The 18072-nt window shown below is 49.2% G+C and overlaps 1 pseudogene and 1 further gene; both read left to right on the top strand.

Moving 5' to 3' along the window:
- The window catches only part of IGH (immunoglobulin heavy locus), a 1293408-nt gene that overhangs the window by 1090313 nt on the left and 185023 nt on the right, over window positions 1–18072 (top strand).
- Window positions 3560–5036, top strand: ATP6V1G1P1 (ATPase H+ transporting V1 subunit G1 pseudogene 1; annotated as a pseudogene).

Below are 18072 nucleotides of genomic sequence, written 5' to 3'. Positions count from 1 at the left end.
GGTATTTTTTTTATTGATGATTTGTTTGAATTCCTTGTAGATTCTGGATATTAGTCCTTTATCAGATGCATAGTTTGCAAATATTTTCTCTTATTCTGTGGGCTGTCTGTTTACTCTCTGATTATTTCTTTTGCTGTGCAGAAGTTTTTTTTGTCTAATTAGGTCACATTTATTTATTTATTTATTTATTTTTGGTTTTGTTGCACTTGCTTTTGGGTTCTTGATCATGAACTCTTTGCCTAAGCCAATGTCTAGAAGAGTTTTACCAATGTTATCTTCTAGAATTTTCATGGTTTCAGGTCTTAGATTTAAGCCTTTCATCCATCTTGAGTTGATTTTTGTATAAAGTGAGAGATGAGGATCCAGCTTCATTCTTCTACATGTGGCTTGCCAATTATCCCAGCACCATTTGTTGAATAGGACATCTTTTCCCCACTTTACATTTTTGTTTGCTTTGTCAAAGATCAGTTGGATATAAGTATTTGACTTCATTTCTGGATTCTCTGTTCTGTTCCATTGGTCTAATGCCTATTTTTATACAAGTACCGTGCTATTTTGGTAACTATAGCCTTGTAGTATAGTATGAATTTGGGTAATGTAATGCCTCCAGATTTGTTCACCTTGCTTAGTCTTGCTTTGGCTATGTGGGGTCTTTTTTGGTTCCAAATGAATTTTAGAATTGTTTTTTATATTTCTGTGAAGAATGATGGTGGCACTTTGATGGGAATTGCATTAAATCTGTAGATTGTTTTTGGCAGTATGGTCATTTTCACAATATTGATTCTACCCATCCAAGAGCATGGGATGTGTCTCCATTTGTTTGCGTCATTGATGATTGCTTTCAGCAGTGTTTTGTAGTTTTTCTTGTACAGATCTTTTACCTCCTTGGTTAGGTATGTTCCTAAGTATTTTATTTTTTGCAGGTGTTGTAAAAGGGATTGAGTTCTTGATTTGTTTCTCAGCTTGGTCATTGTTGGTGTATAGCAGTGCTGATAATTTATGTACATTGATTTTGTATCCTGAAATTTTACTGAATTAATTTAACAGATCTAGAAGCTTTTTGGATGAGCTTTAGGGTTTTCTAGGTATGTGATCATATCATCAGTGAACAGCAACAGTCTGACTTCCTTTTTACTGATTTGGATGGGCACCCAGACTTTCCTATACACCCTCTGAAATGTAGGTAGGAGCTGCCATGCCTCCTTCACTCTTGTATTCTGCCCACCTGTGGGCTTAGCACCATGTGGAAGCTACCAAGGCTTCCAGCTTGCACCTTCTGGAGTGGCAGCCTGAGCTGCACCTGGGACTCTTTGAGCCTTGGCTGAACCTGGAGCAGCAACCTCCCAAGATACCACAGGGAAGCAAGGCCCCAGCCCTGACCCCCATAACAATTTCATCCTCCTAGGCCTCTGGGCCTGTGATGGGAGAGACTGTCCCAAAGACTTCTGAAATGCCTTTAAGACCTTTTTCTCATTGTCTTTGCTATTAGCATTTAGTTGCCTTTTAGTTATGCTAATCTCTCTAGCAAGTGGTTGCTCCATAAGGCATTTGGGTTCCTTGCCTGAAAAGGCTCTTTTCTTCTCAACCTCATGGCCAGCCTGCAAATTTTCCAAATGTTTATGTTCTGCTTACCTTTTAATTATAAATTCTAATTTTAAGTCATTTTTTTTGCTCCCATATTTGATTTAGGCCATTCAAAGCAGCCAGGTTACTTCTTGGATGCTCTGCTGCTTTGAAATTTCTTCCACCAGATACCTTAGGTCATCACTGTCAATCTCAGCCTTTCAGAAAGCCCTGGAACATGGACACAATACAGCCAAGCTCCTTGCTGGGGGCATAACAAGCATCACCTTTACTCCAGTTCCTAATAAATTCCTCATTTCTACCTGAGACCTCATCGGCCTGGCCTTTACTGTCCATATTTCTATCAGCACTTTGATCACAACTATGTAACCAGTCTCTAAAAAGTTCCAAATTTCCCCTCATCTTCCTGTCTTCTTCCTGGGCCCTCCAAACTCTTCCAACCTCTGCCCATTACCCAGTTCCAAAGCCACTTCCACATTTTCAGGTATCTTTATAGCAACACCGCACTCCTTGCTACCAATTTTCTGTTTTCATCCATTTTGCATTGCTATAAAAGAATACCTGAGGCTGGATAATTTGTAAAGAAAAGGAAGTTTATTTGGCTCACTACAAGCTGTACAAGAAGCATAATGCCAGTATCTGCTTCTGGTGAGGCCTCTGGAAGTTTACAATCAAGGCAGAAGGCAAAAAAGGAGCCAGCATAGGACAGGCATGGTGGCTCATGCCTGTAATCCCAGCACTTTGGGAGGCCAAGGCAGGTGGATCACTTGAGGTCAGGAGTTCGAGACCAGCCTGACCAACATGGTGAAACCCCATCTCTACTAAAAATACAAAATTATCCGGGTATGGTGGTGCACACCTGTAGTCCCAGCTACTAGGGAGGCTGAGGCAGGAGAATTGCTTGAACCCAGGAGACAGAGGTTGCAGTGAGTGAGCCGAGATCACACCATTGCACTCCAGCCTGGGCAACAAGAGTGAAACTCCATCTCAAAAAAAAAAAAAAAAAGGAGCCAGCATGTCACATGGTGAGAATGGTGAGAGGGAGAAAGAGAGATAAGAAGGAAGTGTCAGGTTTTTTTAAACAACCAGCTCTTGTGTGAACTAATAGAGTGAGAAATCACCCATCACCAAGGGGATGGCACCAAACCATTCATGAGAGATCTGGCCTTATGACCCCAATACCTCCCACCAGGTCTCACCTCCAACACTGGGGATCATATTTCAATGTGAAATTTGGAGGGGACAAACATCTAAATCATATCAGGAACTCCATGGTACTGCTAACCCCCAAATCTCTAGGGGTGATATTGAGTGACATGCATGGTACTGAACGATACTTGGTCAGGTTCTCCCAGTGAAGCCCAAGCACCCTCAGGGTACAGGGCTGGGAGGCCCAATCACACCAGCTCAGCCCAGGACTTGGCTGAGTCTGCCCGGTATTAGAAGGTAGCAGACCTAGAACTGGGTTGAACAAGATCAGGCCACTTTGTGCATGTTGCCAAAGGAGAAACTGAAGGATCAGAAGTGGGCAGTAAGTTTTCAGTGAGCCCAGGGGTCATAAGTAGCAAAATGTGGAATTCAGTAAGGGGTAGAGGCTGGAAGAGTTTTGAGGTGTGTGTTAGAAAAAGCCTAGGTTTCCTTGAAGACTATGTTAGAAATTTGGACATTAAAGGTGATCCTGGTGGGGGCTCAGAAAGAAAGAGGAGAGCTATAGAGAAAACTCCTGTCATCTTGGAGAATACATAAATTGTCACGAACAGAATGTTGCTAGAAACGTGAATGTTAAAGATGCCTCTGCTGAGGCTCCAGACAGAAATAAGGAAGGTGTTATTGAAAACGAAGGTGACCCTTGTCATACAGTGGCAAAGCACTTGGCTGAACTGTGTTCCGTTTTGTGGAAAGTAGAAATTATACATGATGAACTTGGATGTTTAGCTGACGAAGTTCCTAAGAAAATTGTTGAAGGCATTCTTGATTTCTCCTTGCTGCTTACAGTAAAATATGAGAAGAGAGAGATCAGCTGAAGAGGGAAGTGCTGAGGTGGCTGGGTCAGCTGACCCAAGGGCCCTTCAAGCTGATTTAGGCTGCTCACCTTGGTCTCAGAATCACCACGGCCATGGCCGGTCAGTCACAGGTGATCCAGCAGCTGCTGCAGGCCGAGAAGCAGGATGCCAAGAAGGTGTCTGGGGCCCACAAGCAAAAGAACCAGAGGCTGAAGCAGCCCAAAGGAGCAGCTTAGGCTGAAATTGAACAGCACTGCCTGCAGAAGGAGAAAGAGTTCAAGGCCAAGGAAGCTGCAGCACTAGGATCTCGCAGACCCAGGATAACCATCCTCCAGACCTACTTCCAGCAGAACAGGGAAGAAGTCTTAGATAACCTTTTGGCCTTTGTCTGCAGCATCCAGCCAGAAATCCCTGAAAACTATCGCATAAGTAGATATTAAAAGAGAGAAGCACCTGTTAAATGGACTGGCACTTTAGATGCCCTCATGGAATAAGAAGCTCTAGTTATATTCTTATAAGAAGACATTAACTTATCTCTGTATATTATAGAGTAGGCCCATTCACTTTTCGGAGAGAAGCAAATCCAGTTTCTTTGTACAGACTTAGAATTTATCTAGGCTGGGCATGGTGGTTCACGCCTGTAATCCCAGCATTTTCGGGGGCCAAGGCGGGCAGATGGCTTGAGCTCAGGAGTTTGAGACCTGCCTGAACAACACAGTGAGACTGTGTCTCTACAAGGAAATATAAAAATTAGCCAGATATGGTGGTACATGCTTATAGTCCTACCTACTTGGAAGAGTGAGGCAGGAGGATCACTTGGGCCCGGAAGGCAGAGGTTATAGTGAGCCAAGATTGTGCCACTGCACTCCAGCCTGGGTGCTAGAGTGAGACCCTGTCTCAAAAAAAAAAAACTTAAAGATTTCATCTTTTTACCTCATGTTTCTTAGGAATATAATGGGTAAATATTGTCTATTTTATTATGCCTTTTGGCTCAAGCAATATATATACATATATATATATCACTGTTGATGTTTTCTTTCTTGTATCAAGTTTAAAAGAAAAAGCAAAACAATCCTTTGAAAAAAGGAAGGAATTAAATCATTTTTTCCTTAATGCTTTTTTGAAGGTCAGGGGCTTTATCTATGAAAAAGTAGTAGTTTCTGTAACCTGTGTGAAGCATCAGCCAGCCTTAAAGTAGTCCATTGCTGCTAATAATTAGAACAGTGAATATTACTAGTATAATTGTTTCAGCTTCTTAATCAAAATAACTAGATGATAGAATTCAAGAACTTGTTACATGTTATTACTCGGTGTACTACTAATCATTTAAAAGTAAAGCCTATCATGCAAATAAATAAATAAATAAATAAATAAATACATGAGACCAGATAAAATGAAGGAAGAATGACTTTGAGATCAGAGCCACAGGTGAGGAGGCTGTTGGGGCTGCTGTTGCCACCTTGGGCCCAGAGTGTGGGGCCACCCCAGTGGGCCTGGAAGATGGAGCATTAACCGAGGAGGATGAATCTTGAGACTTAAATCTAATAAAGGGCCAACTAGAAGCCCCTAGTGCTCATCATCCTCATAAAGAAAGCCAGAAAAGTCAATAGACAACTATATTTTAACGAAAATAACTGAGGGAGAGCACTGAGTGCATCAGAGGAGTAACAGAAACCCTGATAAGCACAGAAATGTGGGCTGGCCACATAGAAAACAGAAGGAAACACACGGCCTCCACCACTCCATCCCCCAACCAGGATTATCTGGGAATCAGGAGGAATTTCTGACATGAGGAGGTAAGCAAGAGGATCCCAGTGGCACCCACTAACACCTCGGACACCTGCAGACCTCGCCACTGGGGTCCCCTGCAGTTTGCACTGGAGGGAGTTGCCTGGAGGCCACATAGCTGTGCTCTCCAAAAAAGGTGCTGACACCGTACCCCACTCCCACATGGCTAGTGCTTCACCACACTGGAATAGGAACTATGGCTGGAGTGTGTCTTACCCAAGGAGTGAGTAGTCACAGCTCCCCTTCATCTCTGAGGCTAAGCTGCCACTGAACAACCCAGACTAGTGGTCCCACGTCCCCAAGTCAAGCTATGGGCATCTATTAAACCCTTCCCCACAGAGCCAAGTGGATCAGCTCTACCCACTCCTCCCCCTGACCCTTTGAGTCCAAGCTAAAGCAGTTTCTTGCCTCCTAGCAAAACAGGACTTTGGCCATGCCTTTCTAGTGTCTACGTTGAAGCAGCACCCTGCATTCCAGGAACTAATGCCTTGGCCACCCAGAAGGTCACACACTGCAGTGCTTAGGCTGAAGCAGCAACCTGTATCCTACAGAAATGGTGCCTGGGCCACTCAGAACAATCACACCCTCTGATACATAAATGCAGGACTTTCCTTACAGCAGAGAAGGCCTGAGCTGAAGCAACACATCACCTTCTAGGGAATCAGTGCCCTGGCTTAAGCTGAGCAGCAGCACATCCCAAGGCTGAGCTGATATAGTACCCTATGCCCCAGGAAAACAGAGCAGTGGCTAAGCTGAGACATCTCAGCCTACAGGCCAAACAACTGTAGTGCCCTGCTTCCCTGGAGCTTGCCTAGGCCCCTAGGGTCTGAGCTGCTGAGGCACCCTCTCCCTGGGAAGTAGAATCAGCACTGTGCTGTTCCCTGCCTACTCCCCACCAAGGCCCAAATTACAGCTATGCTCTGCCATCTTGGGATACTTGCTGACACTGTACCTGGTCTCACATAGTCTGGGATCCTGCTGAGCCCTACCATCCTAGGGTCTAGAGTCAATACCATACAGTGCCTCATCCCCTGGGACCAAAGTTTCCATTGTGCCCTATTGGCTCAGCTTCCCAAATTGCAGCCATACCATACTCCCCAGGTCCACACCTCCAGAACACCCCTTCTTCCCCAGAGTTGGACAAATGCTGCACCCCCCAGGAATAGACTCACAGCTACAACCTGGCCCCTTGAGCAAAACCTGTTAAAGGGTACCTCAGAGTCACAGATCCTAGCACTGTGAGCCACCTAATCCAAACCTGCCACAGAAACTGAACCTACACCCCAAGACCCAGATGCCACAGTAGATTCTTGAAACCAGGAGACTAGGACTCCAGTTGCACAGCTACTCTAATTTTCTGCACCTGGAATCCAGCACCATTGCAGCTGCACGTTGGCCACATTAGACCTGCTACCAAGAGAGAGCCCCTTGACTAAATCTCCTCATTGTGGGGAAACAAGAAGAGGAGGACTACAAAAGCCCTTGACACTGAGTACATTAACCTGTGCCACCACTACATCCACAAACTTCTACAGCCTAGTCCACTGAGGTGCCCACAGTTATTGCTGAGGTTGAATGCAGTTGAAGAAGACGCATGGAAGCTATGCCACTGCACCTATTCAGAAACAGAGTCATCACACTTTCCCAACCAAAACACTAAACCCAACTGCAGGTGAAATTGTTTCTCTAAAAAACCCACTCTTGAAAGTTTGGAAGAGGTGACTATTTCGCCAGATGCACAGACATCAATGCAGGAACACAATAAACATGAGAAAGCAAGGAAATATGACACCACCAAAGGAACATAACTCTCATTAATAGACCTCAATGGAAAAAGAAATCAATGTATTGCTGGAAAAGGAATTCAAAATAATGATCTTAAGATAACTCAATAAGATACAAGAAAACAGATAAACAATTCAATGAATTCAGGAAAGTAATTTACAGTATGAATGAAAATTTCAACAGAGATAGAAATAAAAAAGAAGCAAACTAAAATTCTGCAGGTGAAGAATTCAATGAATAAAATTAAAAAATACAGTAATGAGCTTCAACAGCAGATATGATGAAGCAGAAGAAAGGAAGAGATAGATCCCAATACAATAATAGTTGATAACTTCAACACCACTCTCAGCACTGGACAGATAATCCAGACAGAAAGTCAACAAAGAAGCATTCAATTTAAAAAGCACTTTAGACCAAATGCATCTAACAGATATTTACACAACATTTCATCCAACAGCTGTGAAATACACATTCTTTTCATCAGCACATGGAATATTCTCCAGGATAAACCATACAGTAAGTCACAAAACAAGTCTCAACAAATTTGAAAGAATTAAAATTATATCAAATATCATTTATGACCACAATAAAACTCGAAATCAATAAGAGGAACTTTTAAGACTGTACAAAGACATGGGAAATTAAATAATGTACTCCTGAGTGACCAATAGGAATTAAGAAGGGAATTTTAGAATGTCAACAAAGAAAATGAAAATAGAAATGCAACGTACTAGAATTTATAAGATATAGCAAAAAGCAGCATTAAGATGGAAGTTTATGGCAATAAATACCTACATCAAAAAAGCAGAGAGATTTCAAATAAATCTCATCCTTGAAAATGCATGTCAAGGAACTAGGAAATCAAGAATAAACCAAACCCAAAATTAGTAGAAAGAAAGAAATAATAAAGATCAGAGCAGAAATAAATGAAATTCAGACTAAAAAAAAAAAAGATCAACAAAATGAAAAATTGAATTTTTCAAAAGATAAACAAAAATGACAAATAATTAGCTAGACTAAACAAAAAAGACCCAAAAGAATGAAATCAGAAATGAAAACAGAAACATTACAACTCATATCACAGAAACACAAAGGATAATTAGAGACCATACACCAACAGATTAGAAAACCTAGCAGAAACAGGTATATTTCTGGACAATACAACCTACCAAGACTGAACCCAGAAGAAATAGAAAGCCTGCACAAACCAGTCATGAGCATTGAGATTGAATCTGTAACAAAAAGTCTCCCATCAAAGGAAAGCCCAAAGAAATTCCTGTTGAAATACCAATGACATTCCTATCAAAATGCCAATTCTACAGTAATCCAATGGCTTCAGTGGGGAATTCTACCAAACACTAAAAAAACTAATACCTATTCTTCTGAAAATCTTCCCGAAAATTGAAGAGGAGGGAATTCTTCTAAATTCCTTGTATGAGGCCACTATTATGGTAATTATGATTATGATTATGATTATGTGATTATTATTATGATTCCAAAACCAGACAAGGACACAACAAAAAAAGCAAACTATAGGCTAAATACTCTGATGAAGATAATAGATGAAAACCTTCAACCAAATACTAGCAAATTGAATCCAGCAGCATATTAAAAACATTATTTATCATGATCAAGTGAGATTTATCCCAGGAATGCAAGGATGGTTCAACATATGCAAATCACATCAACAGAATGAAGGACAAAAACCGTATTATCATCATAACAGACACAGAAAAAGTATTTGATAAAATCCAACATCCCTTCATAAAAATTCTCAGCAAGTTAGGTATGAAAGGAATATACCTCAACACAATAAGAGCTATATGTGACAAACCCACAGCCAACATCATACTGAACATGCAAGAGTTGAAAGCTTTTCTCTAAAATCTGGAACAAGCCAATGATATCAGGCCAGATGTAGTGGCTCATGCCTCTAATTCTAGCACTTTGGGAGGCCAAGGCAGGAGGATCACTTGAGCCCAACAAAGGAAACAATCAACAGAGTGAAAAGACAATCTACAGAATGTTAGAAAATATTTGCAAACTCTCCATCCAACAAGGGACTAATATTTAGAATACATTGGAAACTCAAACAACTAAACAGAAAAGAAAACAAATTTTTTTATTAAAAATAGGCAAATGAAAAAATATTTAAAAGTTTTTAAAACCAAAAAAGGAACTGAATAGACGTCTCTAAAAGGAAGATATACGAATGGCCAACAGACATATGAGAAAATGCTCAACATTACTAATCATAAGGAAAATGCAAATTGAAACCACAATAAGATATAATCTCACCCCAGTTAAAATGGCTATTATTAAAAAAGGCAAAAAACAATTGCTGTCAAAGATTCAGAGAAAGGGGAGCTTTAATGCATTATTGGTTGAAATCTTGTCTTTGGAATTAGCACAGCCATTGAAAAACAATAAAGAGCTTCCTCAAAAAATGGAAATGAGTACTGCCCCATGATCCCACCATCCTCTACCGGGTATTTATCCAAAGGAAATCTATGTCAAAGAGACATCTACACTACATGTTCATTGCAGCACTATTCACAATGCCAGTGTTGGAATCAACCTACGTGTCCATCAACAGATGAATGCATAAAGAAAATGTAGTGTTTATACACAAACACACACAGAGAGAGAGAGAGAGAGGAATTCTATTCTGCCATGAAAAAGAATGAAATCTTGTCATCTGAGGTAACATGGATGAGCTTGGAGGACATGTTAAGTGAAATAAAGCTAGACACAGACAGCCAAATATCACATGTTCTCACTCATATATGGAAGCCAAATAAGTTGATCTCATAGAAATAGGGAGTAGAATAGTGGTAACCAGAGGCTGGGAATGGGAGGGGATAGGATAGCTAGAAGTCGATTAATAAATAAAAAATTACAGTCAGGTAGGAGGAATAGGCCCCGGTGTTCTCTAACACCATAGGGTGACTATAACTAACAACAATTTATTGTATATTTTCATACGGCTAGAAGAGCAAATTTTGATTGTTCCCAGCACAAAGAAGTGATAAATGTTTGAGGTGATGGATATGCTAATTGTTGCAGGAAGTCAGGGACCCCGAATGGAGGGACCAGCTGGAGCCATGGCAGAGGAACATAAATTGTGAAGATTTCATGGACATTTATCAGTTCCCAAATAATACTTTTATAATTTCTTATGCCTGTCTTTACTTTAATCTCATAATCCTGTTATCTTCATAAGCTGAGGATGTACGTCACCTCAGGACCACTGGGATAATTGTGTTAACTGTACAAATTGATTGTAAAACATATGTGTTTGAACAATATGAAATCAGTGCACCTTGAAAAAGACAGAATAACAGCGATTTTTAGGGAATAAGGGAAGACAACCATAAGGTCTGACTGCCTGAGGGGTTGGGCAAAAAGAGCCATATTTTTCTTCTTGCAGAAAGCCTATAAATGAACGTGCAAGTAGGGAAGATATCGCTAAATTATTTTCCTAGCAAGGAATATTAATACTAATACCCTGGGAAAGGAATGCATCCCTGGGGGAGGTCTATAAACGGCCGCTCTGGGAATGTCTGTCTTATGTGGTTGAGATAAGGACTGAGATAAGGACTGAGATACGCCCTGGTCTCCTGCAGTACCCTCAGCTTATTAGGGGGGTGAAAAACTCCACCCTGGTAAATTTGTGGTCACACTGGTTCTCTGCTCTCAAACTCTGTTTTCTGTTGTTTAAGATGTTTATCAAGATAATATATGCACTGCTGAACATAGACCCTTATCAGTAGTTCTGTTTTTGCCCTTTGCCTTGTGATCTTTGTTGGACCCTTATCAGTGGTTCTGCTTTTGCCCTTTGTCCTGTTCCCTCAGAAGCATGTGATCTTTGTTAGACCCTTATTAGTAGTTCTGCTTTTTGCCTTTGAAGCATGTGATCTTTGTACCCACTCCCTGTGCTTACACCCCCTCCCTTTTTGAAACCCTTAACAAAAAACCTGCTGGTTTGAGGCTCAGGCGGTCATCACAGTCCTACTGATATGTGATGTCACCCCCGGCTGCCCAGCTGTAAAATCCTCTCTTTATACTGTCTCTCTTTATTTCTCAGCTGGCCAACAATTATGGAAAACAGAAAGAACCTACATTGAAATATTGGGGGCAGGTTCCCCCAATACTAATTATCCTGATTTGATCATCACCCATTGTATATATGTATCCAAATATCACAATGTACCCCAAAATATATACAATTATTATGTGTCAATTAAAAACAATCATAAAACTTTTAAACAGCTAAAATAAAAGTATATTGTTTTCTTCAAAAAAAATCTAATGCAGTTTTCCCTACTAGGTTTTGGGCTTGCTTAGGACCCATGGCTCCTCTCTCCCTTCCAATGTATCCCTTTTGGAATAGGAATGTCCATCCTATGCCTGCCCCATCATTGTACTTTGGAAGCAGATAACTTCTTGTCAAGTTACAAAGGTCCACAGATGGAGAGGAATTTCACCCCAGAATGAATCACCCTGCATTTCTCCCACACTTGATGCAGGTGATATGTCGCTGAGATTGTGGACTAAGAGTTGGTGCTGGAAGGGGTTAGCCATCGTGGAGATGTTGCTATGGGATGCAGGGATTTTGCCTGTGAGAAGGACATGATTATGGGGGGAGCGGAGGGCAAACTGTCATGGGTTAAAATGTGTCCCCTATAAATTCATGTGTTGAAGTCCTAACCCCCAGGACCACAGAATGTGACCTTGTTTGGAAACAGTCTTTGCAGCTGCAATCAAGTTCGGATGAGGTCACCCTGGAGTAGGGCAAGCCTCTGATCCAATATGACTGCTGTCCTCATGAAAAGGGGGAATCTGGGCACAGACGCACGTGTGGAGAACGCCCTGTGAAGATGGTGCTGCTTCCACAAGCCAAGAGCAGCAGAGACGGCCGGCAAAGCCCAGCAGCAAGGAGAGAGCCTGGAACAGAGTCTCCATGACACAGAGGAGCCAGCCCCACCGAGACCTCCATCCCAGATGACCGGCCTCCAGAACCAGGACGGAATAAACGTCTGTTGTTTAAGCCACGCAGTCTGGGGTGCAGTGTTGCCAGGGCCGCACTTAACGGATACGAGTGTTGTCCTGAGCTGCCAGCCCCACAGACTGCACAAGGCCTCCCTGCCCCAGCCAAGTGCAGTCTCCCCAGCCCCCTGGGTGTGCCATGGGCAGTGTGGGGCCCATCACTCCGTCCTCCCCCAGGCTGGGAGGTTGAGCCCATTATGAGCTCCATGGGGTGAAGCTGGAGCGAGAGGCTGGGAGCCGACTGGGAGCCCGCGGCTGGAGGATGGATTTCCCCAGGGACCCACACGTGCACCTCCACCTGTCTCCTGGACGTTCTCTCTGAGGGCAGGGCTGGTGCCAGCTCAGGGATCCAGCAGGGACAGAAGGGCGGGCCGGGTCCTTGTGGAGAGCACATTTAGTGGGAGGGACATGATTTCCCCTCACAAGTGTCCATTCTTCCTGTTCCTTGCTGGACGCTTCCTCTTCCATTCTGGACACTTCCTGTGCGACACCTCCTCGGGCTTTCCCGAGGCCCTCTGGCCTCATTCCGTTCCCTGCTACCTCCCACTTCCACGTACGTCCTTGCCCAGCTCTTCCCTCTATCCAGAGCTTCTGCCTGGCAAGGTCCCTGCTGAGATCAGTCCAGGCTCCCCCAGCACAGGTAGGAGCCTTGCACATGCCCTTGGACCTCCCCACCCTGCATGATGCCAGCATCCCCAGGCCCCAGGGAGGCCCCATTTCTCTCTCTGCTGGTAGTCCAGTGGCCCTGGAGTCCCACTGCAGGTGGGGTGTGCCCCTGAACTCTGAGGAAGCTAAGTACCCTGCCCTCAGACAGGCTATCCCCCCTGCTCAGCCCCAGGGCCCTGCCCCCTACCCCTTCCCCTCACCTGCACCACAGGCTCTGGCCAACTCTGCCCAGGCCCTGAATGGGCCCCTCTGGCTCCCCTCTGCTGCTACACTGCCCTGCACCACCTCCACTCAGCCTCAGTGTGTTCATCCGCCTGTCCCACGTCCCCTCGGCCCCCAGGAGCACAGCTGGTGGCCCTGGCTCCTCGCAGCCCATCTTGTTCCTTCTGGAGCACCAGCCTCAGAGGCCTTCCTGTGCAGGGTCCACTCGGCCAGCCCTGGGACCCTCCTGGTCTCAAGCACACACATTCTCCCTGCAGCCAGACCTGCCCCTGCCTGTGAGCTCAGACCTGAGCCTTGGAACGCCTTCCCTTCTCCATCCCAGCTCGCCTTTGCCAGCTGCTCAGCAGGATGAACTCACACTCCCCTCCCTGCACCATGAGTGAGAGTCAGCTGGAGAGATGCCCAGGCAAAAGCAGCCACCAGGGCCCAGTGGGGGCCAGAAGCTTCAGATGAGAGGCCCAGGTATTGAGAGGCTGAGACCACGGGCAGAATGGTCATAATCGTTGCCAGTCTCAGTCCAGCCCCAGGGACTCAGAGACAGAGAAAAGAGCAGCACACAAGGTCCGGGCTCCCCACCTTCTCCCGTGAGTACGGGGGAGTATGGGGGCAGCCACCACCCCCATCCCCACACACCCATGAGGCAGCCTCAGCTGTGTCTGGACTCCCCCTCGCCCTCTGACACAGAAACCACCAGAAGAAAAGGGAACTTCAGGAAGTAAGTGGTGCCGCCGGTTTCAATCCTGTTCTTAGTGTTTGCAGCGTGGAGTTCACACCCCTGGGGACCTGGGGGCCGAGCTGTGATTTCCTAGGAAGACAAGTGGCAGCTGACAGCGTGGGCAAGGCTGCCCACATGTACCTCGCCACAACAGGAAGGGCTGAGACCCCCACCTCGGTGAGTGGGGTCAGCACAGGGCAGGAGCACAGGCTCAGGAGAAGGACAGAGCCTGGGCGCAGCCATCGGCGCTTCTGGACCTGAGCTGCTGAACAGGCTGCAAGAGGCTGGGGAGAGGCTGGGGCGAGGCCAGCCCCACATGGAAGCCTAAGCGGAGCCAGCACAGGGGAGGTGGGCAGCCTTCAGGCACCGATGCCCACCCAGTGCGAGACGACAGGGACCGTGGGCAGGGGCTTCCAAGCCAACAGGGCAGGACACACCAGAGGCTGACTGAGGCCTCCAGGACGACCGGGCTGGGAGTGTGAGGAACATGACGGGATGGGGCAGAGCCAGCCATGGGGTGATGCCAGGATGGGCATGACCGACCTGAGCTCAGGAGGCAGCAGAGAGAGGGAGGAGGAGAGGCCCCAGGTGAACCGAGGGGCTTGTCCAGGCCGGCAGCATCACCGGAGCCCAGGGCAGGGTCAGCAGAGCTGGCCGTAGGGCCCTCCTCTCAGCCAGGACCAAGGACAGCAGGTGAGCTGGGAGCAGAGCAGGGAGGGTGAGTGTGGCAGCAGGACAGGAGGGTGGAAGCCAAGGAGCCCAGAGGCAGAGGCAGGGACAGGGGAGGCACAGGGGCTGGGCTCAGAGCCAGCTGATGGGGTTGGGGCACCTGCTGGCCGGGAGCAGGGCTGTGGTCAGCAGCGGAGAGGAGGGGAGAGCTGTGCTGAGTGCACGGGCGGGAGGAGGGAAGAGTCCAGGGAGGCCCAGAAAGGCCCAGAGTGCAGCAGGCCTGGGGCGAGGGGAGGGGCTGAGGCTCCGTGCGTTCAGGGAACTGACCCAGCAGAGCAGAGGCCACTGAGGAGCTGAGGTTCTGGAGAGGCTTCCAGAGCAGGAGCAGTGCAGGGACGGGAGGATCCGGGAGCTCATCCAGGAGGGGCACATGGGCAAGGGCAAGGGGCTCTGTTGGGGAGACCTGACTGGACACTGGGGCTGCTCCACAGCATAGGGAACACGCCAAGTGCTGCAAAAACAAAAATGAGGCAAGAAAAACAGCCTAAACCTGGACAGAGGGTGCCAGGACAGGCAGGGGGGCAACAGTGGACCGAGTGACGTTGCTGCCCCAGGTTGAGGGAGGGCAGAGTGAGCAGGGGGCAGGCATTGGAGTTCAGGGGACCAGGACCAAGCAGCCACAGGTGCACAGGGCAGGTGGGAGGCAGGAAGAACAGGGGGCAGCTCCTGGAGCTCAGGGGACCACGGGAGAGCATCTGAAGGTGAACAGGAGCCGGTGGAGGGGCAGGATGAGCAGGAGGAAGACCCTGGAGCTCAGGGGACCAGGGCAGAGCAGCCACAGGTGAGGAGGCAGCCACAGGTGCGCAGGGCAGGTGGGAGGCAGGACCAGCAGGGGGCAGCCCCTGGAGCTCATAGAGCCAGGGCAGAGCAGTTGCAGGTGAGCAGGGCTCAGTGGAAGATGGGCAAGCAGGGGGCAGCTCCTGGAGCTCAGGGCACCAGGGCAGTGTAGCCACAGGTGAGCAGGGGCTGGTGGGAGGCAGGACAAGCAGGCGGCAGCTCCCGGAGCTCAGGGAACCAGGGCAGTGTAGCTGCAGGTGAGCAGGGGCTGGTGGAAGGCAGGACAAGCAGGTGGCAGCTCCTGGAGCTCAGGGAACCAGGGCAGTGTAGCTGCAGGTGAGCAGGGGCTGGTGGGAGGCAGGACGAGCAGGGGGCAGCCCCTGGAGCTCAGGGGACCAGGGGAGGGCATCAGAAGGTGAGCAGGGGCTGGTGGGAGGCAGGATGAGTAAGGGGCAGCCCCTTTAGCTCAGGGGACCAGGGCAGAGCAGCCTCAGGTGAGCAGGGGCAGGTGAGGGGCAGGACGAGCAGGGGGCAGTCCTGGAGCTCAGGGGATCAGGGCAGAGCATCAGAAGGTGAGCATGGCTGGTGGGAGGTGGGCGAGCAGGGGGCAGCCCCTGGAGCTCAGGGGACCAGGGCAGAGCAGTCGCAGGTGAGCACGGGTTGGTGGGAGGTAGAACGAGTAGGGGGCAGCTCCTGGAGCTCAGGGAACAGGGGAGAACATCAGAAGATGAGAAGGGCCGGTGGGAGGTTGCAGAGCAGGGGGCAGCTTCTGCAGCTCTGCCAGCCAGGGCAGAGCAGCTGCAGGTAAGCAGGGCTGGTGGGAAGCAGGGGTAGCAGGTGGGCAGCCCCTGGAGCTCAGAGAGCCGGGGAAGATCATCGGTAGGTGAGCAGGGGCTGGTGGAAAGCAGGAGGAGCAAGGGGCAGCTCATGGAGCTCAGAGGACCAGGGAAGAGCAGCCACAGGTGAACAGGGGCAGGTGGGCGGCAGAATGAGCAGGGGCAGCTCCTGGAGCTCAGGGGACAAGGGCAGAGCAGCCATAGGCAAACAGGAGCAGGGTCAGGGGACAGGAGGAGCAGGGGGCAGCTCTTGGAGCTCAGGGGACCAGGGCAGAGCCGCTGCAGGTGAGCAGGGGCAGGTGGGGGGCAGGAGGAGCAGGGGGCATCTCCTGGAGCTCAGAGCACCAGGGCAGAGCAGCCACAGGTGAGCAGGGACGGTGGGAGGCAGCACGCAGCTCCTAGACTTTGGCAGGAGCTGGGTAGTTGCCGGCAGCAGACAGCTGAGGGCTGGTGAAAGTGCAGTGCAGCCTCCTGGTGCCGGGAAGGGAGTGTGAGTCCATCCCACTGAGCAGTTGGCAAGGGCGAGCTGGGATGGAGAAGGGAAGGCGTTCCAGGGCTCGGGGCTGAGCTCTCAGGCAGGGGCAGGTGTGGCTGCAGGGGGAACGTGTGCTTGAGACCAGGAGGGTCCCAGGGCTGGCCCCAGCGGACCCTGGGCAGGAAGGCCTCTGAGGCTGGTGCCCCAGAAGGAGCAAGATGGGCTGCCAGGAGCCAGGACCATCAGCACAATGAAGCTGAGTGGAGGTGGTGCAGGGCAGTGTAGCAGCAGAGGGCAGCCAGAGGGGCCCATTCAGGGCCTGGGCAGAGTCAGCCAGAGCCTGTGGTGCAGGTGAGGGGAAGGGGTGGTGAGCGGGGCCCTGGGGCTGAGCAGAGGGGATGGCCTGGCTGAGGGCAGGGCGCTTAGCTTCCTCAGAGGTCAGGGGCACACCCCACCTGCAGTGGGACTCCAGGGCCACTGGGCCAGCAGCAGAGAGAAATGGGGCCTCCCTGTGGCCTGGGGGTCCTGGCACCACGCAGGGTGGGGAGGGCCAAGGGCAGGTGCAAGGCTCCTACCTGTGCTGGGGGGCCTGGGTTGAGCCCAGCAGGGACCTTGCCGGGGGAAGCTCTGGAGAGAGGGAGGAGGTGGGCTGGTGGCTGAGAAGGCCAGGCCAGGGCTGGGAGGGTGACGGTGTGGTGACTGAGCCTCCAGAAGTAATGCAGGACACTGGGAGGCAGGGGGCATCCAGGCACTCAGGGCCCTGACCTGGGCTGCTGCACACTGGGGCTAAGGGGAAAGGAGGGGAGAGGCTGAGGAGGAGGCTCCCGGGGCGATATTCCAAGGCAGGGGGTTCCGGGGCCCTGGGGCTGAAGGGCGCCGACCCTATGCAGTGTCTGGCCCCTCTGCTGCACAGAAGAAAAGGGCCTTGGAGGGCAGAGGGCAGGCTATGACCAGGGCCCTGGGCAAGTCAGGCCCACTCACTAGCGGAGGGCCACGCTGGGGCGGCAGGGTCAGGAGCTTCAGGGGACTCAGGGGACCCACGAGAAGCCATCTGAGAACAGTGTCCACTGGTCAAGCCAGGCACCCATAAAAGGCTGGAGTGGGGCCAATGGGCATGAGCCGTCCCTGAGGTGGCACCGATGGCCAGAGCTGAGGCCAAGCTAGAGGCCCTGGACTGTGCTGACTCCCGGCAGACACAGAGCGCTGACCTGGCTGCCGAGCCCCGCCTCCTAGGCTGCAGGGGTGCCTGCAGAAGGGCACCACAGGGCCACCGGTCCTGCAAGCTTTCTGGGGCGGGCCGGGCCTGACCTTGGCTTTGGGGCAGGGAGGGGGCTAAGGTGAGGCAGGTGGCGCCAGCCAGGCGCACACCCAATGCCCGTGAGCCCAGACACTGGACCCTGCCTGGACCCTCGTGGATAGACAAGAACCGAGGGGCCTCTGCGC

Source organism: Homo sapiens, chromosome 14, assembly GCF_000001405.40.
Source record: "Homo sapiens chromosome 14, GRCh38.p14 Primary Assembly".
Taxonomy (NCBI): domain Eukaryota; kingdom Metazoa; phylum Chordata; class Mammalia; order Primates; family Hominidae; genus Homo; species Homo sapiens.
This window is presented reverse-complemented; position numbering and strand designations above follow the sequence as displayed.